The sequence below is a fragment of the Homo sapiens genome, chromosome 9, assembly GCF_000001405.40.
Source record: "Homo sapiens chromosome 9, GRCh38.p14 Primary Assembly".
NCBI lineage: Eukaryota > Metazoa > Chordata > Mammalia > Primates > Hominidae > Homo > Homo sapiens.
This window is the reverse complement of record NC_000009.12, coordinates 121578238-121604207: the sequence shown is the minus strand read 5'-3', so window position 1 is coordinate 121604207 and position 25970 is coordinate 121578238. Positions and strand designations below refer to the sequence as shown.

The 25970-nt window shown below is 51.8% G+C and overlaps 1 protein-coding gene across 1 annotated transcript in view, besides 2 other annotated features; it reads right to left on the bottom strand.

Moving 5' to 3' along the window:
• Window positions 1-25970, bottom strand: part of DAB2IP (DAB2 interacting protein) — a 218457-nt gene that overhangs the window by 181323 nt on the left and 11164 nt on the right. The window lies entirely within an intron of this gene.
• Window positions 4709-5674: an enhancer, noted in NCBI's record as "H3K27ac-H3K4me1 hESC enhancer chr9:124360813-124361778 (GRCh37/hg19 assembly coordinates)". NCBI's record gives its function as "activates a minimal SCP1, AML or CMV promoter by ChIP-STARR-seq in naive and primed H9 embryonic stem cells {active_cell/tissue: H9 hESC(naive and primed)}" and the evidence as "EXISTENCE:reporter gene assay evidence [ECO:0000049][PMID:30033119]".
• Window positions 5675-6642: an enhancer, noted in NCBI's record as "H3K27ac-H3K4me1 hESC enhancer chr9:124359845-124360812 (GRCh37/hg19 assembly coordinates)". NCBI's record gives its function as "activates a minimal SCP1, AML or CMV promoter by ChIP-STARR-seq in naive H9 embryonic stem cells {active_cell/tissue: H9 hESC(naive)}" and the evidence as "EXISTENCE:reporter gene assay evidence [ECO:0000049][PMID:30033119]".

The following is a 25970-nucleotide window of genomic DNA, read 5'->3' as shown; positions in this document are numbered from 1 at the left end:
ATGTCCCCCTTGTCTCCTGGTCAAGACTACCCAGGGCTGAGAGGGCCTGCAGTGGGGTTGGCCCTAGTGCCCCCACGCTCCCCCTTGGCTCCTGCCCTTGACCCCCAGTCATTCCCACCATCACCTTCTTGCAAGGATCAGGGTGCAAAACACTGTGTAATTCTAAGGTAAGTGACCTCCCCCTTCCCTGGGCTTCCTCCACTACCTGTCCCCCTCTGGACTGCCCCCAGGTGTCCTGGCCCCACTGGCCACCATTCCCATAAGAGCCTTTCTGGCCCCTTTCATAGTAATTCCCATGGAGCACTCTGCCCTCCAGCCCAACTCAACCCCTCACCCATGCCCTGAGCCCATCATGAATACCTCTCCCTAGAAACCCAGACAGGAAATGCAGACAGAGCCCAACTTGTAAATGTCAAGGTGGGAAAGAACCTCAGAGATCTGGACAAAAAGCCCCACCTTCAGCCCCTTTACAGAAAAGAAACCTAACGTTTTAAGAGATGACCAGCCCTGCCCAAGATCACACAGCCTGATCGTGGCCCAGGTCTTCAAGCTTCCAGGTGAGGGCTCTGGCACCAAAGCCACAACCAGATAGGGCAGAAAAATAGTGAGGCATGAACAAGACTGCAAAAAAGGCCAGAGTGCCTTATTGTCAAGGCACCTGGATTTAGGTCCTGACTCTTATCACCGCTCCCTCCCCTGCCCACATACACACATTAGGGCTTTGGACACGTCACTGCAGTTTCCTGGACTCCAGTGACCTCTTTCATAAAATGGGTGTTTAATAATTTGTGCTTTCAGCAGGATCAAATAGGTCCAAGGCAGAACAAGCACCCTGTCTGCAGCACAGCTGGTAGGCCAGAATTGTGATACAGCTGGGGTCTATGCAGGCGATTCCTCCACCCTGTATCTCTCCTAGTGAGTCAGCCCAGGCCAGGCAGCCTCGGGCCAGACATTTCCCCAAAGCTGCCCAATGGCCCACAGAGCGGTCTTCCAAGGGAAGGGATGGAGATTGAAAACATAGATAGACGCACAACAGAACCACCCCGCTCCTCTCCCCGCGAGATGCAGGCCCAGCACCTTCTGGCTGGGAGGGCCAGAGGCCACAGTAGGAGGATGGAGGAAGAAGGTGTTGAGGGGAGGGAGAGGTTTCTGCCAACCCCTCCAGGGTCCTCACCACTCTGGGTGAAAAAACTGAGCAGAGGCTGGGTACAGTGGCTCATGCCTACAATCCCAGCACTTTGGGAGGCTGAGGCAGGAGCATCAGGAACTTAGGAGATCAAGACCATCCTGAGCAACATAGCAAGACTTCATCTCTACTAAAAATTAAAAAATTGGCCAGGCGCGGTGGCTCACGCCTGTAATCCCAGTACTTTGGGAGGCCGAGGTGGGCGGATCACGAGGTCAGGAGATCAAGGCCATCCTGGCTAACACAGTGAAACCCTGTCTCCACTAAAAATACAAAAAATTAGCCGGGCGTGGTGGCGGGCGCCTGTAGTCCCAGCTACTTGGGAGGCTGAGGCAGGAGAATGGCGTGAACCCAGGAGGTGGAGCTTGCAGTGAGCCGAGATCACGCCACTGCACTCCAGCCTGGGTGACAGAGGGAGACTCCATCTCAAAAAACAAAACAAAACAAAACAAATTTAAAAATTGGCTGAGCATGGTGGCATGTGCCTGTAGTCGCAGTTACTAAAGAGGCTGAGGTGGGAGGATCACTGGAGCACAGGAGTTTGAGGCCTTAGTGAGCTATGATAGTACCACTACACTCCAGCCTGGATGACAGAGTGAGACCCTGTCTCCAAAATATAATAACCTGAGCACGAGGGCCTCGTCTAAGGCACACCAATCCTAGAAAGCAGAGGCCAGTGATCTTGGGGGTGCCACAGGTCTGCCCGCAAGTACATCCACTTGTGGCAGGAGAAACTTCACCAGGGCTCCCGTCAGCCAAGGGCCTGCTCCATTCCACCCACCAGTGGGTGGAACAGCATACCCATCTTAAGTTGGGAGAAAGCCCTAGAAAGGAAGAGTAACCAGCTCCAGAGAGTGAAGCCAAGACTAAATTCAGATCTGTTGAAAACTATATTCCACGTTCTCTTCCTAAGAGTACCTTAGTGCTATGGTCCTCGAACTGTGACCTGCAGGAAAATGGCCTGGGTTGGGGGGGAGTGGGAGTGGCGGGTGGTTTAAAGTGGAGATCCCAGGCCTGGAGTAGAGATGAGGGATCTGCATTTTAACAGGTGCTCTAGGTGCTTGTGATAAAAGCATTGCTGGCACACACCAGTCCCAGGAGCACACACGCACGCGCACACACACACACACACACAAAGGCATGTATGCAAGCAAGGATCAAAAGCGAAGCATGTGCTCTAAAGACAGATACAGATGCTGAGTTTGGTGCACAGCCCAGCCAGCCCCTTACCAGTTGTAGGATCTTGGGTAAGTCCCTTAACCTCTCTAAACCTGTTTCTTATATGCAAAATAAGGATAAGAAAATAATCAACCTCATGGGTTTGTTTTATGGGTGCAAGAAAATAATATGTGTAAAGTCCTCAGGGCAGGGTCTGGCATATAATAAACACTCAATAAATAGTGCTATGATCATTACCAACCTCAGTGCCTGTGTGTTGAATGCTGAAGGGACGGAACAGAATGCCAGGCACCAGGGGACCACAGTGAATAATTGAGACAGTAAGAAATGCCCCAAGGGTTGTTCCAGAACCAGTGGATAGAAGTCATAGAGACAAAGATTTCTGTCCCAAACAGGAAGAATGTTGCTCAATCATGAAACCAAGAGTTTCCCAATCATGAAACCAACTGTCTAGTGAACTCACCGTCACTAGAGGATCCTAGCAAAAAAGACTAGATGTTCACCAAGTGGGGACACAGCACCAGGGAAGGAAGAATGCGGGGATAGGAGGGCCAGGTGATCTTGAAGGTGACTTTGGGCCAGGTTCTGCAGGTCAGCCCTTTTCCCCATCATGCTGGTTATTTAGTTCATTTGCTCTTCCTTGCCATTTACAATAGTTACCTCCAGGTGTCTAAAAGGGGTGGGGAAAGGGGGAAAGATCAAGATAGACAGAAGCCTTGTACATTCTGAATAGTTCATTGCAGGGATAAGAATGTGTGAGGCTGTTTAAACCTGAGCCTACAAACCCACTGAAATTGTGGGTGTGTGCATCTGTGCACTTTTCTCAAAAGGGCTGATTAAGAGGGGCTGGTCCTTACCAACTTTCTGGGGGAGAGGAAACTGAGGCACAAGGATGCTGGCTCTCTCAGACAGCAAGAGGGCACAGGCTCCAGGGTATAGATCGGCTGCTTAAGATGGCTGTCCTACGAGCCAGGCGCCTTCTACGCCTCACCTCGAAAAAACCTCCCTATATCCCCCTTGGACGGGACCCTTGAGCTCTGAGAGGTTAGGAAACCTGCCCACAGATACACAGCTAGTGAGCAGCAGGGGCTGATGTTGGAACCCAGATTCCCTGGGCTCCAGAGCTAGGTGTTTGGTTCCATTTTTTTACTCTTAGGTATTCTGTCCTGGGTCAGTAAAACACGGAAAGGAGTTAACATTAAGGAGGACTAATGTTAAAGATTGGTCCTTATTGGTGACAAGCTACCTACTCACCCACTCACAATCAAAATTAAGGTAAAATTTCCCTCCTTAATAGCAGAAGGGGCCAGAGGGAGAGGAGTTTCCATATGGCTCACACCAGATAGCTCAAGAGTGGACCATCCTGAGACCAGAACACCCTGCAGTCATTCCCACCAGGCTGAGCACTGGAAGCAGGTGGCGTTGGTCCCTGTTCCCACTCTGCTTAGCCCAAGGTGTTTTCACGGAAGGTGGGGTCCAGAGCAGCCCAGGAAACGGAAAAGAGACCTCACTTCAACGACCCAGCCCTGCCAATCGCCTCCCTGATAATTTAGGATTGGCCAGGATTGAACAAAAACACCCAAAACTTGGGTGCCCCAGGGGGTGCCTGGCTCTGGATAAAGAGGTTTGGTTGGCTGCCCTATCACCAATTCCCAGGGTGAGCTGAGGAAGGTCTGAAGTTTGGGAGACCGCTGGAAGCCTTGGGGATCGGTAGGCTGGCACCCCCCACCCCCAACTCCCGCCGCCCGCGGGCCCCAGCTGGGGGCGCCTTCCTCGCGATCCCCTGTATTGTACTCTCCCAAGAACCCAGCGCCAGCCCTGGGTCCCGGCGGTCGAGATCTGGGCAGGGCGCACAGGAAAGTTTAAAGGCTCAATGCATCGCGCAGATTTCCTTGCGGGAGAGGGGACTGTAGGGGAAAAGCGGGGTAAATAAAGCAAAGTCGCCGCCCATTCCTCAGTCCCCTACCCCAACACCTCGCATCGGAGCCCCCGGATCCTCTCGAACCCGGGATGCCGCTCGGATCCCGGCAAACCACCGAGCCCCCCTCCACCTGAGCCGCGGCCCCCAGCTTTTACCTCTACGCGCGGGCCGGGCCGCTGGGCGCTGCCATCCCAAAGGCTCCGGAGCCTGAGCGGCCCAGGGCCAGGGTTGCGAAGCGGCGGAGTCGCGGTGTCGCCGGGCGGCTGCAGGAAAGTTTCCTTCGCGCCAGCTGGGCCGAGTGGAGCGGGGCGGGCGGAGTAGGCGGCTGGCCAGGCAGGAGCGCGCTACGGCCGGCTCCGCGCCTCCCCCGGCGCCGCCGCTCTACGGCTCCCGGGCTCCCGCGGCCACCCGGCCTGCCCAGCCCTGCCAATCGCAGGCCCAGCCGCCCACAGCTCCGCCCGCCAGGCCCGGGACCCAGCGCGGGCGGGGAGCAGAGGGGCGGGGGCGCACCTGTTTGGTCAATCGACCTCCCCACCACCGCCCCGCCCAGGCCGGACTGGGCAGAGCCGAGGCCCTCCGCTCCGAGCACACGCTCCCCAGCCTGGTGCCGGCCCGAGATGCCGGCGGGACCACACGCCCCCTCCCCTCCCGGAGTCCCCAGGCCTCCAGGAGTCCAGAGATAACCTCTGCTTCCGTTTCGGCGCTATGAGGGTACGGGACCGAGGAGTGGGCCGCGACTTTGCTTTACTTATCCCTCTTCCACCCTACAGCTCCCCTTCCCGCTAGAATCTTCCCGCATCCGCTGACCCCTTAAACTTTTATGTGCGCCCTGCGTGGATCTCCAACCTCAGGAGCCGGGGACTAATGGGGGGAACTAGAGCTTGGGAAGGGGACAGTGCGGGGTGTCACAGGGAAGGCACCCCAGCACTCCCACCAACAGAAACTCCCGAGGACTCCAGCTGGCTGGAGGGAACGTCCCGCGAACGTCTGCGACCCGCTTCAGCAAGCGTGACTGAATATTAAAGCGTGACTATCTTATTGACCCATTTCCCAGATAGGCACACTGAGGCCAGAGCGGGGCGAACGCTTTTCGGACCGTGGTGGCGGGACAGCGACGTTTTCCAGCTAAAGGTGGGTTTGCTGAGAGCTCCTGCCTCCTTTTCCCAGCCCTACGCGGATGCCTGTGTTCGTCCTCACCTTGCCGCCAGTCGCGGATCTGGGGCCAAGGAGGAGAAACAGGCCCCGGGCAAGTGCCCGCGTAGGGCGAGGGCGCGCCTGGAGGCGCACGGCCTTACCTCCGCAGCAGAGCGTGTCCTCGCAGAGCGCGCAGGCTGGAGGCCCCAGCAGGGGCAGGGAGGCCCAGGCGAGGGCGCGGAAGGAGGCACCGCCAGCTCCCATCTCGGACGGCCTCGGCAGTGCCTCGGCCAGCGGGCCTGCCACCCTCCGCGGCACCTGTGGGGCCAGCGCGGTGCCCGCGGCCTCCGCCTCCGTGGTCGGTCCCGGGCCAGGCCCGGGGTGAGGGGTGTGCAGGGCTCCCGGCTCCTTGAGCCGTCCCGGCTCAGAATCCAACGGCGGCTCGCAGGTCGAGCTGGGCAGGGCGCTATTTTTAGCGAGAGCTGCTCTCCCAGTCGTACAGACAGAACCAGTTAATTCGGCCGCTGGGGACGGGCCTGCACGGTGAACTCCCCGAACGGCAGCCGGAGCTCTGCTGAAAGCTGATCCTTCGCATTCCTGCCTCTCGAGGCGGGAGGGCGGGAGGACGCCTGTAATTCCAGGGGGAAGCCAGCGTCCTCTCTGAAGACAGCGCCTGGGCCCAACTGCACGCCAAAAATGGGGCTCTTTAAATTGGCTCTGAAACCTGGCGCGACTTGATGCTGATGCCAAGCCGCAGACGATGTCCCATAAAATGTCCATCTACTGTCTCACCCTTCCCACCGGTCTCCAGCACTGGGAAGAGCCTCCCAGAAATGGGGTCTCAGCCCCAGCACCCACCAGAAGCTGGCACGGTCATCACTCAGGAGCTACTTGTTGAATGAAGGCAGGAAGGAGTGAAATCCGATACCAGGGTCAGTGGAAGTCTTCGGAGCATATGCGATGGATGCACAGGGTGGCTTTGAAATCTTATAGAACCCCTAATCCAACACTTTCTGGCTGTGCGACCTTGGCAAATCATCTTACCTCTGTTTTATCTTCTCAGTTTTACCTTCTGCCTCAGTTTTATCTTCTGCAAAAAGGGAGTTTTAGAACTCCAAGAGATAGTATGCAAGAAATCCTTTTGTAAACAAAAGCATTATGTAGATGTTCATGTAAAACGTGATGAGAGAGCTGCAAAGGTGAACACAAGTTTCTACTCTCAGGAAGTCACTAGCACTCCTCTAATTCGAGAGAGGAGGTGCTAAGGACCCCAAAATGTACAATCACAGCATCTGGTATTAGCCCAAGGGTAGATAAATTGGCCAGTGGACTAGAATAGAGGCTGCAAAAATTGACCCATACAGGTATGGAAACTTGATATGTAGCAGAGATGGCCCTGCAGGTCAGTGGGAGAAGGGTGGACTTTTCTATAAATGGTGCTAGAGCAATAGAATGTCCATATTAGTAAAAGATGAGCTGAATCCCTACCTCACACCATGCATAAAAGATCAGTTCCAGGTGTACTGAAAACTTACACACACAAAAAAAACTCATAATAGTCAAGGATGTCTTAAAGAAGACCTCAAAAGCATAAATCATCAAGAAAAACATCAATACATTTAATTAAAATTCAAAACTTCTGTTTATCAAAAGATGATATTTACAATATAATATCCAAAATATACAAAGGCCTTCCACAAACCAATGTGCTAAAGAGGCAATAGGAGATTGGGCAAAATATATGAACAGGCAATTCACAGAAAAAGAAACATGAATGGCCAATAAACATATGCAAAGATGGTCAGTCTCACTAGTAATCAGAGAAATATAAAACAAAATCCCAGTAAAGTGCCACTTCATGCCTGTCAGATTGGTGCAAAAACAAAGAAGTGGGACAGTAGGGACCTGGAGTCTGGAGAACTGTCCTGTGCTGCAGGCAGGAGTGGAAATGGGTAGAGCCACTCTGGGAAACAATTTGGCAGCATCTAGAAATGTCGAAGTGCACATACCCCAGTGACCCAGAGTCTTGACATAGAGAACCTCTTGCTCATTGCAATAATGATAATACTAGTAAGGAATTTGAAACAGCCTCCATCCCTATCAGAGGAAGAATGCATAAACAAATTGTGGGGTAGTCAGCAAAATTCTATACTGCAGCAAAAATAAATGATTAGAAATTCATTATGAATCTCAAATCTCAAATAAGGGGAGGGAGAACATGTTGCAGAACATCAAATTTCTATAATATCATTCATATAGTTTTGTTTTGTTTTGAGACAGAGGCTTGCTCTGTCACCCAGGATGGAGTGCAGTGGCGCTATCATAGCTCACTGCGGCCTCGAACTCCTGTGCTCAGGTAATACTACCACCACAGCCTTCTGAGTAGCTGGGACCACAGGTGCAGTGGCACCACATGCAGCTAGTTTTTTGTTTGTTTGTTTGTTTTTTATTTTTTTGAGATGGAGTTTCACTCTTATTGCCCAGGCTGGAGTGCAATGGCACGATCTCAGTTCACCGCAACCTCTGTCTCCTGGGTTCAAGAGATTCTCCTGTCTCAGTCTCCCGAGTAGCTGAGATTACAGGCATGCGCCACCATGCCCAGCTAATTTTGTATTATTTTGTATTTTTTAATAGAGACAGGGTTTCTCCATGTTGGTCAGACTGGTCTCGAACTCCCCGCCTCAGGTGATCCACCTGCCTCGGCCTCCTAAAGTGCTGGGATTACAGGCATGAGCCACCGCGCCTGGCCTAATATTTTTATTTGTAGAGAGAGGGGTCTCTCTATGTTGGCCAGGCTGGTCTCAAACTCCTGGACTCAAGCGATCCTCCCGCCCCAGCCTCCCAAACAAAGTGTTGGGATTACAGATGTGAGCCACTGTGCCTACCCTGGCTTCAAGTTCTATTCCTGTAATTCCACAAACTACGTGACTGGTGGCATGAGCCGCTATGCCCAGCCTTCATATAGATTCTTTAAACATGCCGAACAGAATACCATATATTCCATAGGAATGCACAGATATGGTAAAAGTATAAAGACATTCAGAGGAATGATAAATACACCATTCTGCAAAGTTTTTACCTCTGGATAGAGGGAGATGTTTAATAGGAAGGAGCTTCACACATTCACACATCTTAGTAAGGTTTTCTTTCTTTCTTTCTTCTTCTTCTTTTCTTTTTTTTTTTTTGAGACAGCACCTCTCTCTTTCAACCAGGCTGGAGTGCAGTAGCATAATGATAACTCACTGCAGCCTCAACCTCCCAGGATCAAGGGATTCTCCCACCTCAGCATCCTGAGTAGCTAGGACTACAGGCACACGCCACCATGGCGGGCTAATTTTTGTTTGTTTGTTTGTTTGTTGTAGAGATAAGGTCTCACTATGTTGCCCACACTGGTCTCAAACTCCTGGGCCCAAACGATCCTCCTGCTTCGGCCTCCTAAAGTGCTGGGATTACAGGTATAAGCCACCATGCTCATGCTTGGTTTTATTTCTTGACCAGGATAGGAGACACACAGTGTTTGTTTTATTCTTCATCACTTTTTTTTTTTAAGGTGCAGAGAGTCATGGTGGGAGGCCACATAAAACCCAGTCCTACTCTGAACTTCAGTTTCCGTATTTTAATAACCTGGTCATCCTTTCTGGGAAATACCTAGCACAAAGACTGGCTCATGAGGAAGTGCTCAGTAAATCTTAAGAACATGAATAGCCCAGTCTGCAATCTTCACTGGGGTCCTTCACACCCTAGTCCCAGTCAGCTGAGACTGCCCCCGCCCAAGCACCACCATACAACCAGGTCTCCCAAGTCCACCAAGCTCTATCATGCCCCAGGAATTTGCACACACTGTTTACTCTTCCTAGAATGTCTGTCCTCCCTATCTCTACCCAGTCAGTGCCTACTTCTCCTATTATAATCCAGCTCAGGCATTCCAGCCCATGGAAAGCAGAGGGTTCCCACAGAACCCACCCACTCCACCATCTATATTTATCATATTGTAGATTGTTGCACCTTGCTATGGGTCTGTGTCCTGGAGCAGACTGTGAGCTCTTCCAGGTCGCAAACCTTGCAGCCCCACCACCTGCAAGAGGCCTGGCCTCAGGAAGGTTTATTGAATGAAGAAAAGGACTGAGTGACCCAAAAACTCAGAAACCAAAAGGGATCATTCCAAACTGTCAAAAGGAAAAAGCAACCCCACCACCTGCTGGACTGACTGCTTGGTCTTCATTGAGTGTTCTTGATGGGAATGTGAACTTCAAAGTCAAAGAGTGCTCGGGGCCTATAATCCCAGCACTTTGGGAGGCCGAGGCGGGTAGATCACCTGAGGTCAGGAGTTCGAGACCAGCCTGGTCAACATGGTGAAACCTCATCTCTACTAAAATACAAAAATTAGGTGGGCATGGTGGCACACACCTGTAATCCCAGCTACTAGGGAGGCTGAGACAGGAGAACCCCTTGAACCTGGGAAGTGAAGGTTGCAGTGAGCCAAGATCGCACCATTTGCCCTCCAGCCTCGGCGACAGAGCAAGACTCCATCTCCAAAAAAAAAAAAAAAAAATGCTGCATTCATATCCAAGCTGACCCACTTGCCAGCTGTGTGACCTAGAGCATGCTACTACATCCCTCTGAGCCTGTTGCTGGGTTTACACAGCCAACATTGACTAGAGATTATCACAAGGGTTATTATAAAGATTCAATGAGATCATAGTGGCAAAATGCATGGCTCCTTTCTTGGTACAGGTAGCAATTATATGACTATGGTCAAGAGGAAGTTGTTTACAGGGGAGGATGGAAAGAACTTGATCAGGTTACTATGAAAGTGGGAGGGCTGGGCATGGTGGCTCACGTCTGTAAACCCAGCACTTTGGGAGGCCAAGGCAGGCAGATCACCTGAGGTCAGGAGTTTAAGACCAGCCTGGTCAAAATAGTGAAACCCCATCTCTAATAAATATACAAAAATTACCTGGGTGTGGTGGTGCATGCCTGTAGTCCTAGCTACTCGGGAGGCTGAGGCAGGAGAATCGCTTGAACCTGGAAGGTGGAGGTTGCAGTGAGCCGAGATTATGCCACTGCACTCCAGCCTGGGCAACAGAGTGAGACTCCGTCACAAAAAAAAAAAAGAAAAAAAAAGAAAAAAGAAAAAAAAGAAAAAGAAAATAAAATAAAACTAATAAAGAAAGAAAGAAAGAAAGAAAGTGGGAGGCTGATCAAAAATTCCAGGGGGCTGAGCACAGTGGCTCATGTCTGTAATCCCAGCACTTTGGGAGGCCAGGACAGGAGGATCGCTTGAGCCCAAGAGTTCAAGACCAGCCTGGGCAACATGGCAAGACCCCATCTCTACAAAAAATTGAAAAGACAATTAGCCGAGCACGGTAGCATGCATCTGTGATCCCAGCTTCTAGGGAGGCTGAGTTGGGAAAATCACTTGAGCCCAGGAGGTCAAGGCTATAGTGAGTCATGTCCACGCCATTGCACTCTAGCCTGGACAACAAAGTGAGACTCCGTCTCAAGAAATACAACAACAACAACAAAATTCCAAGAGAAGCCAAGCACAGTGGTGAGCATGCCTGTGGTCCCAGCTACTTGGAAGGCTGAGGCAGGATGATCTCTTGAGCCCAGCAGTTTGATGCTGCACTAAGCTATGATCATGCCGTTGCACTCCAGCCTGGGCAGCAGACAAGACCCTGTCTCAATTATTTAAAAAATTCAGGCGCGTTCTCCAGTTCTGAACAAAACCACACCCAGGGAGGCTGGCCCAGGAGATGAGAAGGTCAAAAATATGCATGAAGTTAGTGCTTCTGGGGCTCTTTCCTCCTGTCCTTTGTGCCACCCCCTGAGTGAGGCGCTGTACAACACTGTAGAACTAAAGACCCTCCTCTCTGTCTGCCCATCCGCTCTGGCACCCTCCAGTCTGTTCTCACATGTAGCCCAGGGATTCCAATCTGGACCCGTCTTTTCCTTGTCAGCTTCCATCTGTAGGGGCGACAGAGCCTGCAGCACCTTCCCCAAGGGATGTGTCTGGAGTGATTTGCCAAAGGCATCGTCTGCACTATATCTGCAAAATCCACGTATGTCCACTTGTCGAGTTCTTCCATCAAGGCAACACACAGGATAGCAAATTGCTTATGGTTCAGACTCTAGACGATGAATTGGCTAATGTTACATGTTGTACAAGCTAACAAATATATAAAGTTGACAGGGCTATATGGTCACTGGAAAAGAACAACATGTACTTCAAGGGTTCCAATGAGATTTTCTGAGCTAATGTGCCAATCTTCTTTGGTTCAGATCTCTCTGGACAATGTAATATTATCCTGGTGACATGGACATTAGCCACTGGGGCACTTTGTCCCATGCAAACGGCCTAGCCAGACAGGAAGCTGACCCAGCTTAAGATCTGCCATTTTTCTTTTTTCTTTTTTTTTTTTGAGATGGAGTCTTGCTCTGTCACCTAGGCTGGAGTGCAGTGGCACTATCTTGGCTCACTGCAGCCTCCACCTCCAGGGTTCAAGTGATTCTCCTGCCTCAGCTTCCCAAGTAGCTGGGGTTACAGGTGCGTACCACCATGCCCAGATAATTTTTGTATTCAGTAGAGATGGGGTTTCACCATGTTGGCCATGCTGGTCTCAAACCCCTGATCTCAAGTGATCTGCCTACCTCGGCCTCCCAAAGTGCTGGGATTATAGGCGTGAGCCACTGGCGCCTGGCCAGATCTGCAGTATTTCCTAATGGCTCTCGGGAAGGTCACCAATGACCTCCTTGTTGGTAACACCATAGGATACATTTCCACCTCCATCTCTCCTGATCTCTTGGCAATACTTAACCCCACAGAAACTTCTGTTCCCTTCCATCTTACCATACTCTCCCAGTTTGTCCCCTAGTTCTCTGGTCACTTCTCCTCCTTGGCTACCTCATCTGACTCCCCTGGGCTGTAAAACTTGGAGTTTGAGACTGTCTGAGTCCCTCTTATTTTTCTAGACTCTCTGCACAGGCAACTTGAACTACACCCAGGCCATGGCTTCAACCACTGTCCTTATGCAGATGATTCCCAAATGTTTATCTCCAGCCCAGTGCAGACACTGTGGTCTCTTGCCTGGACTTCGCTAAGAACTGAACTTGTTCCATGCATCCACCTGGCCCCTCTCCATGTGGGTCCCTATCTACTAGTTCTCCTCATTAGGTTTTCAAAGCACAGATCCAATCATATCACCCTCACTTCTGTTCAAAGCTTCAATGGTTTCTTGTTGCCATCATGTGGCCTCCAAGATCCTGGGTGGTCAGGTCCTACCCATCTCCCCAGCCTCATTTCTTTTTTCTTGGCAGGAGAACAGAGTCTCACTCTGTTGCCCAAGGCTGGAGTGCAGTGGCACGATCTCGGCTCATTGCAACCTCCACCTCCTGGCTTCAAGCGATTCTTGTGCCTCAGCCTCCTGAGTAGCTGGAATTACAGGCATGCATCACTGCAACCAACTAATTTTTGTATTTTTGGTAGAGACAGGGTTTCACTATGTTGGCCAGGCTGGTATTGAACTCCTGGCCTCAAGTGATCCACCCGCCTTAGCCTCTCAAAGTGCTGGGATTACAGGCATAAGCTACCATGCCTGGCCCTAGCCTCATTTCTTGCCATCTTCCCCATCCCTCTCTGCCTCCAGCCACTCCAGCCAACTTCCAGATCCTCAAATATACAACGCTTCTTCCCACGACACAGCCTTTGCATACCAGTTTCCCCTCTTCAGAACACTTTTCTCCATTCCTTGGCCCAGTTAACTTCTCCCAATGGAAGCCTAATGTCATTTCCTCAGGGAAGGCTTCCCTGGCCTCCCACATGACACACCCATGGCTCAAGTCACTTTCCTTTATGGTGTCCGTTGCAGTTGGTGATGGCATCTTCAATGTGTGATCACTGGATGGATGTGTCATGCTCCCGGGCTGGGCATCCCTAAACACAGGGATCATGCCTGGTTTTCTTCATTGTTGTATCCCCTCCTACCCTCAGCAAGGGCATGTAGTAGGTGCTCAATGAATGTTTGTTGAATGAATGAGTGAAGGCACGTCTGCTTTCCCACCTCCATCAATAGGCTCTGTTTATTGTTGTTGGATACTGTTTGTTGCCAGAAATGTCTACATTTCTGCCCGTTGCTATGAATGCAAGTTTGAGTGCTTTGCCAGATGCTCTCTCATTTAATTCTTACGACCGCCTCTGAAAAGGTTCTAGTATCTATTCCCTTTTGACAGATGAGGAAACTGAGGCTCAGATTTTAAGCAACTTGCACAAGATCACACAGCATGTAGATGACAGAGCCTGTTCTCAAGCCCCATCTGTTTGATTCCAGATCCTGGGTTTTGTAACCACAACACCCTTTTCACAGATAGGCTGGGGTGGTGGGTCCTTACCTGATGATGGAAGTGAAACTCAAAACTGCAGTGACTGAAGCATCATAGGATGAAGACCCAGGCCCACAAGACCCTGGAGCAGGGATAGTATGAATGACAGGGGAGGAGTGGGAAGGAGGGGCCAGAAGGAGAAAGCAGCTCCGATCTAGTGTGCGTGTGGGGCATGACGGTCACGGAGCATAAGTAGTGGAAATGCACAGACCTCACTTCTGCCTCTGAGGCATTGAGAATTCAATACCCAGAGAGAATGAGATGATGTCAGACACTATGCATGGAGGAAGGACCAGGTGATACTGAACAGGAGAACAGCTGTTTCCAGGGAAGACCTGTTCTGAGGGGACACATCCCTGTCTGAGTCTAATCATTCTCAGATGCTTTGATTCCACCTCCGCAGTTTCTCTCATACCCCAGGAAGGGAAGGGAAGGGAAGGGAAGGGAAGGGAAGGGAAGGGAAGGGAAGGGAAGGGAAGGGAAGGGAAGGGAGCAGGACTGGGCAGAAGGAGGAATTGAGCTTCCATGCAGTCAGTGCAAGCCTCAGCCTACCCTACATCGGGAGCTGGGATGGCCCTTCAGAGTCATCCTGAGCAATGCCAAGCTTTTATGACCCTGGGTTGGTCAGTCACTGGATGTAGAGCACCAGTGTAGGAAGGAGCTGTCACCTCTGGGGAGGCGGCTGTCCATGGATTCTCCACGTGCCTAAGTCAATGTCATTCGGCTCCTTTTGTGCCAGGCTCTGGGCTGGGTGCTGGAGACACAGATGCAGGGGGAAGAGACAGGTAACAATGTCATCAGGTGGTCCCCAAGCAGGACACTCCCATATGCTGCTGAGCACTGCTGGTAATGGCTGAGACACAGGTGGGCAGCTATGCGGCTCTGCTACCAGCCTTGGGAGCGGGGCAGGAATGGCTCCAGGAAAGGCTTCCAAGGAGATGACCTCTGAGTGTGTCTTTAAGGAAGCGAGACAGAAAAGTTAGCCAGGCAAAGAGGAAATAGCCCATAAAAAAACATGGCACCATGAAACAGCCAGCGTGCTCAGGGAATTACAGTCAAGTATTATTGGAGCCTCAAGTGAGGGGAGCAGCCATGAGAGGGGGCAGGAGAAGAGGCAGGGCTGCACCATGAGGGACCCTACATGCCATGCTCAGCAACTTGGCCTTAGGGAGCTACTGAGAGACCTTGAGGGGGCTACTGAGCGACCTTACTGGCCCCTCTCCATGTGGATCCATGTCTACTAGTTCTCCCTATCAGGTTTTCAAAGCACAGATCCGATCATATCACGCCGGGGGTGGGACAGAGCCAACTCTTGAGTTTTACAAAAATCTGGGGAGTGAGTAGGAGGCAGGGAAGGGAGGACAGGAAGGGTTAGGTCAGAAGGAAGATAAGAGATTGGATGGTTGCTGGAGGGGAATGCCTTGGGTTTGGTGGGGGGTAGGGGGTGTGATGTGCAACCCGGATCTCCTCTTCAGGAGTAAAGGTCTCACTCCCCTAGGTATGGGGAGGCTGCTAGAAGTAGTCCCTCAGTGCTTAGCTCTTGGGGGTTGCCTCTGCTGAAGACAGCCACCTCCCCAGAGGTGACACCTCCTTCCTGGGGTGTCCTACATCCAGTGACTGACCAACCCAGGGTCATAAAAGTTTGGCACAGCTCAGGATGACTCTGAAGGGGCATCCCAGCTCCAGGTGTAGGGTGGGCTGAGGCTTGCACTGACTGCATGGAAGCTCAGTTCCTCCTCCTGCCCAGTCCTGCTCCCTTCTCTTTCCTTCCCTTCCCTTCCCTTCCCTTCCCTTCCCTCTTCCCCATTCCCCCTTCCCCCTTCCCTTCCCCCTTCACCCTTCCCCCTTCCCCCTTCACCCTTCCCCTTTCCCCCTTCCCTTCCCTTCCCTTCCACAGGTGTTGAGCCAGAGAGCAGCCCTTGATGGATCTCCTATGCATGAATACCTCTCAGAGCCTGCTCCTGGGGAACCCCAGTTGGGATGAGGAGGACGGGAAGCACTCGCTAGGTGCCCAGCTGGTGGGAATGACCCAGCAGAATGTCTGATTTTGGGGCTGCCAGTGAGAGAGGTGTACTGATCTCAAGAGGTGCCTGATCTGAAGGGATCAGGCAAGGTCACAGGAGGGATGGAGAGGCCGGCTCTTCTTGAGACAGAAGCAGAAGTTGGAAGCAACTTGGGGTGGGGAGGAGGTCAGGAAATGGAAGGACTCACGGTCTTGACCTTTTTTTCCCTATGCAGCCAGAAGTAAGGTTTGCCGCTAAGGGGATGGGTAGATAGTAAAACAATTACCTAAGAAAGTAATCACCGTAGTGCATGATAATTATTGCCACAGCAGTGGTAAGGAGTTCAGGGCTTCAACGCATGGATAGGAGTTTACCAGGCTGTGTGCCCACAAGGGAAAGTCATCATGGGCAGAGAACCCAGCTAGGCACTGATGTGAGGAGATGGGGGTAGGATTGCCAGATGAAATACAAGATGCCAGGTAAATGTAAATTGTATATAAACAATGAATTTTTTTTAGTGTAAGTATATCCTATGCAATATTTGGGACACACTTATACTGAAAAAACTACCCATTTTTTATCCCCTTTTGGCCCCCTCCCTGTAAGCAGCCTTATCTACCAGTGGGTCTCCCACACTCTCACCCAGGCATTCTCAGGTTCCATCTTACTCCTCCTTTACTCAACCACCTCTGGTGGCTCCCCATTGTCCAAACCCTCAATTGGTCATTTGAGGCCCTCTGTTTCTTGACCTTCGGCTACCCTCTCAACCCTATTCTTTTTTTTTTTTTTTTCTTTTCGAGACAGGATCTCACTCTGATTGCTCAGACTGGAGTGCAGTAATGAGATCTTGGCTCACTGCAACCTCAACCTCCCAGGCTCAGGTGATTCTCTCACCTCAGCCTCCCAAGTAGCTGGAACTACAGGCATGTGCCACTACGCCTGGCTAATTTTTGTCTCTTCAGTAGAGTCAGGATTTCATCATGTTGGTCAGGCTGGTCTTGAACTCCTGGGCTCAAGCAATCTGCCCGCCTCAGCCTCCCAGAGTGCTGGGATTTATAGGCATGAGCCACTGCACCTGGCCTCAACCCCATTCTTGAACCCCTACTTTAATCCCCTGCCTCCGGGTTTTTTCCTCAAGCTGTTTCCTCTGCCTACACTGCACTTTCCCAAATCCGCTCTTCCAGGAAGCCTCCCAGATCTACATTCCCTGTGGGTGGATGGAAGTAGTCATCTCCACTGATTATCAGCAGTAGCACCAGTTCGCTTCTCCGAGCCTTCATTTCCTTGTCTCTAAAATGGGCACAATATTGTCTTTTTCGTCAGGTTACTGAGGGGACAAGAGACTGTTAAGAAAGCATCAGAAACACCCTTGAATGCTGACACCCCCGCTGCCTGTGCCTAGATCACTGCCTGGCACCCAGTGGGCACAGAGTCATGTTTGCTGAATCAAATTGACTCAGAGGTCCTGAGCTTTTACAGTTTAACTTGCTTCTTGGAATTACCATGCCCAACAGTGGAACTTGGACAAATTCAATTTCCTGTATTAAGATGATCTGAAAAGGGATGCTTAATGAGGTCACTGCAATTTTTTTTTTTTTTACTTTGTCACCCAGGCTGGAGTGCAGTGGTACAATCATGGCTCACTACAGCCTCCACCTCCCAGGCTAAAGCGATCCTCCCACCTCAGACTCCCAAGTAGCTGGGACTGAAGGTATACACCACCTTGCCTGGCTAATTTTGGTATTTTTTTGTAAAGAAGGGAGTCTTGCTGTGTTGCCCAAGCTGGTCTCGAACTCCTGGGCTCAAGTAATCTGCCTGCCTCAGCCTCCCAAGGTGCCAGGCCACTGCAATTCAGGCTGCATAACAGGTTTCTCCCCTGTAGACAGGGGACAAACCAGCTCCCTTGCAGCTCCCTGCAAGGGGCCCATTTTGGACCCAGTCTCTCCAACTGGAAGCAGGTAATATCTGCCACTTACGTTTCCGTCTCAAGCCCTCCCAATCCTAGACCACAAAGGATGATTTCTTATAACTATTAGCATAATTACCCAACTGCAACGCTATAGAGAAGTGATTCGATGAGCCTGTGATTTTCGCACAGTTATTTGTCTCAAGTAAGTCACCTGAAGTTCATCTGCCATCAGGATTCATGGCTGTGTTCGGTAATCATAGGGAATTATTTTGCTAATAACAGAGGTACCTTGATCTAATTTAGTTTTAATGCCAGGAGGTGCCCTCCCAGAATAATCAGCTTTAGGGCAATTCCAATTTCCAGGTTTGTTACATGTTCTGGATAGAAGATTCAATTCAAGGAGGCTGAAGTTACTTCTTTATCACCCAAAGTCATCTAGGGGCGAAATGGTAGCCTACCTCTACGTGTGTGCAGAAAAATGCAGGGAGAGGCCCAGCGACAGGGAGCCAGGGTGGGCTCCCAGCCCAGAGGAATGACTGGAAGCCACTGATGGGTTAGGATCGGGTCAAGTTAGATCCGTAATTAGGGTTCCTGGTAGAACCCTAATTTTTCTTACATTCATTCATTAACCCATTCTATTTTTTTTTTTAAATCCCTAACCCTCACCCAGGCTGGAGTCCAGTGGCACGATCTCAGCTCACTGCAACCTCTGCTTCCTGGTCTCATGTGATCCTCCAGCCTCAGCTTCCTGAGTAGCTGGGACATCAGGTATGCACCACATGTCTGGCTAATTTTTGTATTTTTTTGTAGAGACAGGGATCTTGCTGCCCTGGCTGGTCTCGAACTCCTGAGCTCAAAGCGATCTGTCTGCCTTGGCCTCCCAAAGTGCTGGGATTATAGGCGTGAGCCACCGCGCCCAGCCAATCTTGTGCACTCTTTTATTCCATTTCTACCATCTCTCCTTGGCAAGACCTAATCTTTGCAGTTATTAATAGAGTCCAAATAATGATAACAAACCCTCGTGCAGCCCTGTTCTAAGTGCTTTAATCCGTATCAACTCATTACATCCTGTGAGGGAGGTGGATGCTACTATTATCCTCATTTTGCAGATGAGAAAACTGAGGCAGAGAGGTTAAGAAACTTGCCTCAAATCACAAATCTATCTAGTAAGGGACAGAGCTGGGATTTGAACCTTCCCCAAGTTCCTATGCAAGGAAGAATCCTGAACCCACCAGGAATTGTTCAGCCTCGACTCTGTGCTCTCATTGACCCCTCGCCATTCTGGGACAGAGGTGTTGTTGGCCGCATTTTATTGAGGAAGAAACTGAGTCTCAAGAGGTCATTGATTTGGCCAAGTTCAATGCAGTGAGTAGATAAATGGAGGAGTTGGGACTTGAACCCTGAGATTCTGATTCTAAACCTAGTGCTGCTGGGCACAGTGGCACGCGCCTGTAGTCCAAGCTACTCAGCAGACTGAGGCAGGAGGACAGCTTGAGGCCTGGAGTTGAAGGCTGTAGTTGGCTAGGATCGTGCCTGTGAATAGCTACTGCACTCCAGCTGGGGAAATGCAGAAAGACCCCACCTCTAAAAGTAAGTAAAAATAAATAAAAATAAACCTAGTGCTGCCTTGTCCAAAGCTGGGAAATTTACGGCATGGTTTTGAATGGCTTTGGCAGCAGCCTAGCTATCATTAATTAACTAAGTGCACGGTGATTGTCCTCCCACAAATCCCCCTCCAGCCACTCTGCGCCCCGCTTCCCACTTTGGTCCTCTTCTCTACTTCCCACCCTTTGCCCCAGAAACTAAGTGTCCTTTGTTGCTATTCCCTGTTACCCAACAAAACCTACTTTCAGATTCCTGATCATTCCGTCATATGTTTATACTTTCAACAGAGGGCTGTGTGGTCCAGCAGGAGGGGCCAGGAGCTAGAGGTAGCTCTGTCACCCTGTCCTCCCTGGGCACTTGGGATGAAACCTGTTTGTCCCTAGGCCTTGTCTTCTAGTCTTTACAAGGGGAAGAGGTTAGACCAGTGTTCTTTAAACTACTTGAGCCATGGAACTCCCATTTTATTTACTTTTTTTTTTTTGTAGAGACAGGGTCTTGCTCTGTTGCCCTGTCTAGAGTGCAGTGGCGTGATCACATTATAATTCACTGCAGCCTCAAATTCCTGGGCTCAAGTGATCCAGAACCGTCATTTAAATGAAAATTTTCAGGCAAGCCCAACATTTGTATTATTATTATGATTATTATTTTGAGGCTGGGCGTGGTGGCTCACACCTGTAATCTATCTCAAAAAAGTTTTTATTTATTTATTTATTTTGAACAGAGTCTCACTCCGTCGCCCAGGCTGGAGTGCAATGGCACGATCTCAACTCACTGCAACCTCCACAGGACCAGGTTCAAGTGATTCTCCTGTCTCAGCCTCCCGAGTAGCTGGGATTACAGGCGTGCACCACCACGCCTGGCTATTTTTTGTATTTTTAGTAGAGACAGGGTTTCACCATGTTGGCCAGGCTGGTCTCAAACTCTTGACCTTGTGATCCTCCCACCTCAGCCTCCCAAAGTGCTGGGATTACAGGCATGAGCCACCACGCCTGACGTCAATGTTTGTATTCTATTGGATCTGGTGAGCTGCTCTAGTCCAAGCTGGGTTCAAGGAAGGAAGTGTCTCCTACACGCCAACTTCTGAGCTTCTCCTTGGACACAACGGGAAAACCACTGGCCTAGACAGAGCCTATAGGCTCTTGGGGCTCTTAGAGACAGGAATCTGGGATCCACGGATGGCAGGTGATGCCGAAGTGCTATGCGGGCAGCTAAATGCCCACCTGGGACCCCCCACCCATCCCCCCCAACAGCTGCCCCGCCTTGTTGGCTAAACTGTAGAGGGGCCTGCCAGCAAAGCCAGCCTGTGCCCAGGACCCTGCCTCTGGGGCACTGAGCTGTCCAGGGGTCTCACCACAGAGAAATAGTATTGCTCTGATGCTCAGGGTGTGCAGTCTGTCTGTTCTGGCACGTTCCTCAGTGGCCAGAAGAGCCGGCTCCTCCCCTACCCCTGTTACCCATTTGTTTTCTCTTTCTTGGCCTCTCCCTTTTCTTTTTTGTTTTTTAAACAGAGTCTCACTCAGTTGCCCAGGCTGGAGTGCAGCGGTGTGATCTCAACTCACTGCAAAATCCATTTCCCAGGTTCAAGCAATTCTCTTGCCTCAGCCTCCCAAGTTGCTGGGACACCACAGACGCCTGCCACCACGCTCGACTAATTTTTTTGTATTTTATGTAAAGACGGGGTTTCGCCATGTTGGCCAGGCTGGTTTTGAACTGCTGACCTTAAGTGATCCACCCACCTTGGCCTCCCAAAGTGTTGGGATTAAGGGGTGAGCCACCGCGGCCGGCCAGCTTCTCCGTTTTCTAAAATTATGTTTTGTTTTGTTCTGTTTTCGTGGCTCCTTCTCCTTCCCCTTCTCCTTCTTTCAACAAATGCTCGCTGGTTACTGGTCTCAAGCTTTCTGTCCCAAGCCTAAGGCTACAGGGGAATGAGACACACATGAGGGCTGCCCGCAGGGCAGAGCCTTCACCTGGAGACAGCTGCATCCTGCAGTGACTGTGGCCACCATTGCACTAAGAACTCATTCACAGGGGCTGGGAAGGCTTCTGGAGGCAGTGGTGAGCAAAAGGGCACTAGCATGTGAGTAGGAGTTTGTCCCGTTTCGGGGGTGGGAATGAATGCACGTAGGGAGGAGGCAGGTGTTTCCGGCTCAGAAGAGAGTCATGGAAACTGTAGAGGCTTAGCCAGCCCAAGCGTTTGAGGAGCTGTCAACAGCTAGATTTGGCTGAAGCATAAAGTGGTCATTGGGGGGCTATCAGGAGTGGGACGAGGTAAGCTGCCCAGGGTGCCAGTGGCCAGGGGTCCGGAGAGCCTGTTCCAGAGCTGGGAACAGATCCTGAGAGTCACGGGGGCGCCAGTGGAGGTCTGCAGCAGGGGATGTGGGGCCAGACCTGCAATGTAGAAGCACACCTGGCTGCCCACAGTTGGGAGTGAGGAGACAGTGAAAATGGGGCTTCCCTTCCTTCTCACCCCCCACAGCCCGCACCCTCCTCTGAATGCTCTGAGCAGCCCTGGTTCCCTCTGAGACTCAGCATGGGGACAGAAGGAAGGGGGCTTTGGGCTGCCGGCTGCTCATCCCACCCTGGCCTGGCCCCCACCTCAAGGCAGTCCCTGACCTCTTCACCCCCAGGACCACGAGTCAGGAAAAGTTCAAAGCTTGCTCTCCCCCAGCCGGGATGTTTTGATTTCTGGGCCCGCTGAAAATGGCCCGTTTGTGCTGAGACGCTCAGGCACATTAGCTTCCAACCCCCTTTCAGCCCTTTCTATCTGAATCCGGGCTCTGACAAGCCCCTTCCCCAGCCCTGCAGCCCCTCTTGGCCCCAGATGACTGTCCTCACTTCCCCCCACGGCCCCCAACCGTGGTGAAGGAGGGGGAGGTCCTATCCCCAAACACAAGCTCTTTTGTTCCAGCCGGCAGCTTGGCCCTCAGCCCTGCACCCGCTGCTGGTGGCGTTTCCTAGCACTTAATGAGCCCGGGGTCAGCTGAAGGATGGGGAGTTGGCATTGAGGGGCTGGGGACAGGGGCTGGAGCACAGGCGATTTCTGGCTGCAGCTTTGGACCTGTCCCTCCTCTGCTCGAATCTCTCCCATGGTTCCTGCCTACTTTACTGGGACTGCTGAGGTGAGCAGAGACCCCAGCCTCCTTGTAGCTCTCACACAGCCTCTCCTGCCTCTCCCTGGAGCAGGACTAGGCACGTGGGCTGCTCAGTGCAGACTCAGAGCAGGGATGCACACAGTGGGAAGCACGCAGGCTTTGAAGCCAGCAGGACCAGAGTTCAAATCCTGACTCTGTCACTTCCTGGTAGTACAACCAGGGACAAATCACAAATCTCTGTGTGCCTCAGTTTCCTCCCCTGTAAAATGGGGCTACGTTTTCCAGCCAGAGTTCTATGAGCTCTGGCACAAAATGCTCATGCACCTTCCCTTCTCTTTCTCTTGTTCCCTAAGAGTCTGACTAGCTCCCCTCCTGAAGATGCAAGGTGCAAGGAAGATAGTCAGAGCTGCCCTCCTCCTGCTCCCCCACAAGTTGAGCATGCACTGGGCTGCCAAGGACATTGGGGGACGGAAACCTTTAATGCCACTAAACAGGGAACTGGAGGCTGAGCAGGTCTGGCGAAGGTAGCCAGTCCAGGAACCCCACTACCCCCTTGGCTCTGGGTCTTCTTGGCCTCCCTCCTTGGGCTAGGCTTCTCCTGCTGGGATTGTGAGCTCCCAGAGGTGGGCAGCCACCCAGCCTCACCTGAGCTGCCTCAGGGGTGGTTTGGGTCTTAGCAATTCCAGGAAGACCCAGCACAACCCTGTTCCTCCCCTGCCTGAAACTATTCATGGCTCCTCCCAGTGCAAGGTAAAGCCCAATCTCCTGATCCCGGCATTTGAGGCCGCTACCCCAGCCCAGCTGACCTCTCCAGGCCTGCGCACCTGGATTTTGGGGTACAGCCTCACTGAATCACTCAAAGTTCTTAGATGGGCGGCCAGGCGCGGTGGCTCACGCCTGTAATCCCAGCACTTGGGGAGGCCAAGGTGGGTGGATCACGAGGTCAGGAGATTGAGACCATCCTGGCTAACACGGTGAAACCCCGTCTCTACTAAAAATACAAAAAAATTAGCTGGGCGTGGTGGTTGGCGCCTGTAGTCCCAGCTACTCAGGAGGCTGAGGCAGGAGAATGGCGTGAACCTGAGAGGCGGAGCTTGCAGTGAGCTGAGATTGCGCCACTGGACTCCAGCCTGGGCAACAGAGCGAGACTCCATCTCAGAAAAAAAAAAAAAGTTCTTAGATGGGCTACTCTGTAGTTCTCAACTCCAGGCCTTTCCCCTGTGGTTCCCTCTGCCTGTTCACTACCTCCATCCACCAGGCCAACCTCCGTATTTTGTTTGGCTTTGTTTTTAGAGATGGGCTCTCCCTGTGTTGCCCAGGCTGGTCTCCTAATCTCAAGCGATCCTCCTCCTTTGGCCTCTCAAAAGTGCTAGAATAGCAGGCACGAGCCACTGTACCTGGCCTTAGGTCTCTGGTTATCTTTAAGGTCAGCATCTTCTCCTTCCCACCTACCCCTAGAGGTCTCTCCACCCTGGGATGTCACTGTAGCCTTGAGTGCCTGTTCTAAGCTCTTCCCTAAAGCAGAGACCCAGCCTCATGCTTCCCTGGGTGCGTGCTTCCCCTCTAGCACCCAGCATGGAGCTAGCACAGAGAAGGCACAAATTAAAAGAAGTGAACCTGGGCAGGGAGCAAAGACCAGGGCTCCAACAATCCTCCTCCAATTCCAGCAGCTGCCCCTTAGAGTCACCTGGTGGGGCAGGGGAGGAGGGAAAAAAGGAGGAGGGGTTTATACATTCCATTGCCCAGGCCTCCTTTAGACTAAACTGAATCCAAATCTCTAGGGCGAGGCTGGGCATCGTTCCTACCCAGAATGATCCTGAGGCAGATGAAGGATTAGAACTTTCTGGAAGATTGAGGTTTCCTTCCCCCGACCCAGGTGCAGTGGGCAAGGTGAGGCCAAGTCCTGCAGGAGGCTTTGAGTGCTCCTTAATACCCCACTGTGTGTGGCATTGATTGGAGGAGCGCTTTATAGCTTGCAAAGTACTTTGATTTGCATCAAGTCATTCGTTCATTCATTATTCATTCAACAAATATGCAGCAGAAAGTGCCAGGGCCACAGAGATGAAGCTCCAAGGTGTGTGGCAGAGACAGGCATGTGGACTGACAGATCGATGGACAAGGCCATAAGGTGTGACAGGGCTGCCCCCAGAGCCCTGAGCAGAACCGGTCAGGTGCACAGAGGAGGAGGGTATTGAGCCTATGTTAGGGAGGTCCCCTGGTCTGGGTGGTACCGGCAAGGCAGAAGGTCCAGGTAGGGGCTGGCAAAGGTGTGGGTGGCAGAGGTGGACTTGGTCCTGCAGTGGGCAGGGGTGTGAGGACACACAGATGTGAGGAGGGATGGTGGGGACTGCAGAGGGCCTGGCCTGGTCACCTGGTGGCTTAGCTGGGAGCCTACAGGAAAGACCGAGAGGGGATGAAGAGACAGGCGAGAGGAAACCCAGGAGAGGAGACTGTGGGGTCCTCAGGGTGGGGGGGTAGGAGAGAGATTCAAGCAATGGCAAACACAAATGATTATAACTACAGCCAAGATCAACTGAGGCCTCATTCTCTGCTAGATCAGTTCTCAGAATTTTTTAAATAAGCATGAACAGTGTTACTCCTCTCAATAACCTGTGACAGGAGTACCAGGGTAACCATCCCATCTCACAGGTGGGAAAACTGAGATTCAGAGAAGTTACATCATTTCCCCTGGTAAGGGGCAGAGATCTGATGGTGCGGGGCTCCAGGGACCCTGCCCTGACCTACCCCCAACCAGAGCCTCACCCGAGAGGACTGGTAAGATGGTGCCCCAAGAGAAAGCCCTGGATTCTGCAGTTGGTATTCCACTGGTGGGCCCGTTCAGAGCAGCTTTGGGGCAGGGAGTGGTGTTGAGTTGCACAATGCCAGTGGGGAAGCAGAGATCAGAAGGACATGGGCTGGGAATCCCAGCTACTCGGGAGGCTGAGGCAGGAGAATAGCTTGAACCTGGGAGGTGGAGGTTGCAGTGAGCCAAGATCGTGCCTCTGCACTCCAGCCTGGGTGACAGAGCAAGACTTCGTCTCAAAAAAAAAAAAAAAAAAAAAAAAAAAAAAAAAAAAGACATAGGCCGGAGAGGATGAGGCAGTGAGGATGGGATGGGAGAGACTTGGGCCCGTTGCAGGGCCGGAGAAAGGGCCAGCAAGGGAGGTCGATGGGGGGGTCCTCATACAGGCAGGAGGGTGGGCAGGAGGTGCAGAGCCCAGGGACCAAGGTTGGCCTCAGCTGGGGAATTGACGGAGGGAGAGGAGAACTGAAGCAAAAATCCCCCGGGGCTTGGAAGGGCCACGGAGAAGCTGTCGGGGGCTCGAGCCTCACTTTTCTCTTGCTGCCGGGCACGGTAGGCCCTCAGCCAAGTCTGTGTTCCCCATTCTGCTGGGGAAGGGGAGCTTTGCAGGAGTCACTAGGGGGAGAGGAGGGAAGAGGGGAGCAGGGGGAGCCCAGCAGGAGGGAGAAAGAGAGAGAGAGAGGCAGAGATACAGAGAGATATATAGAGATGACTGAGACAGAAGGACTGAGAGAGATAGGAACAGAGATAGAGAGACAG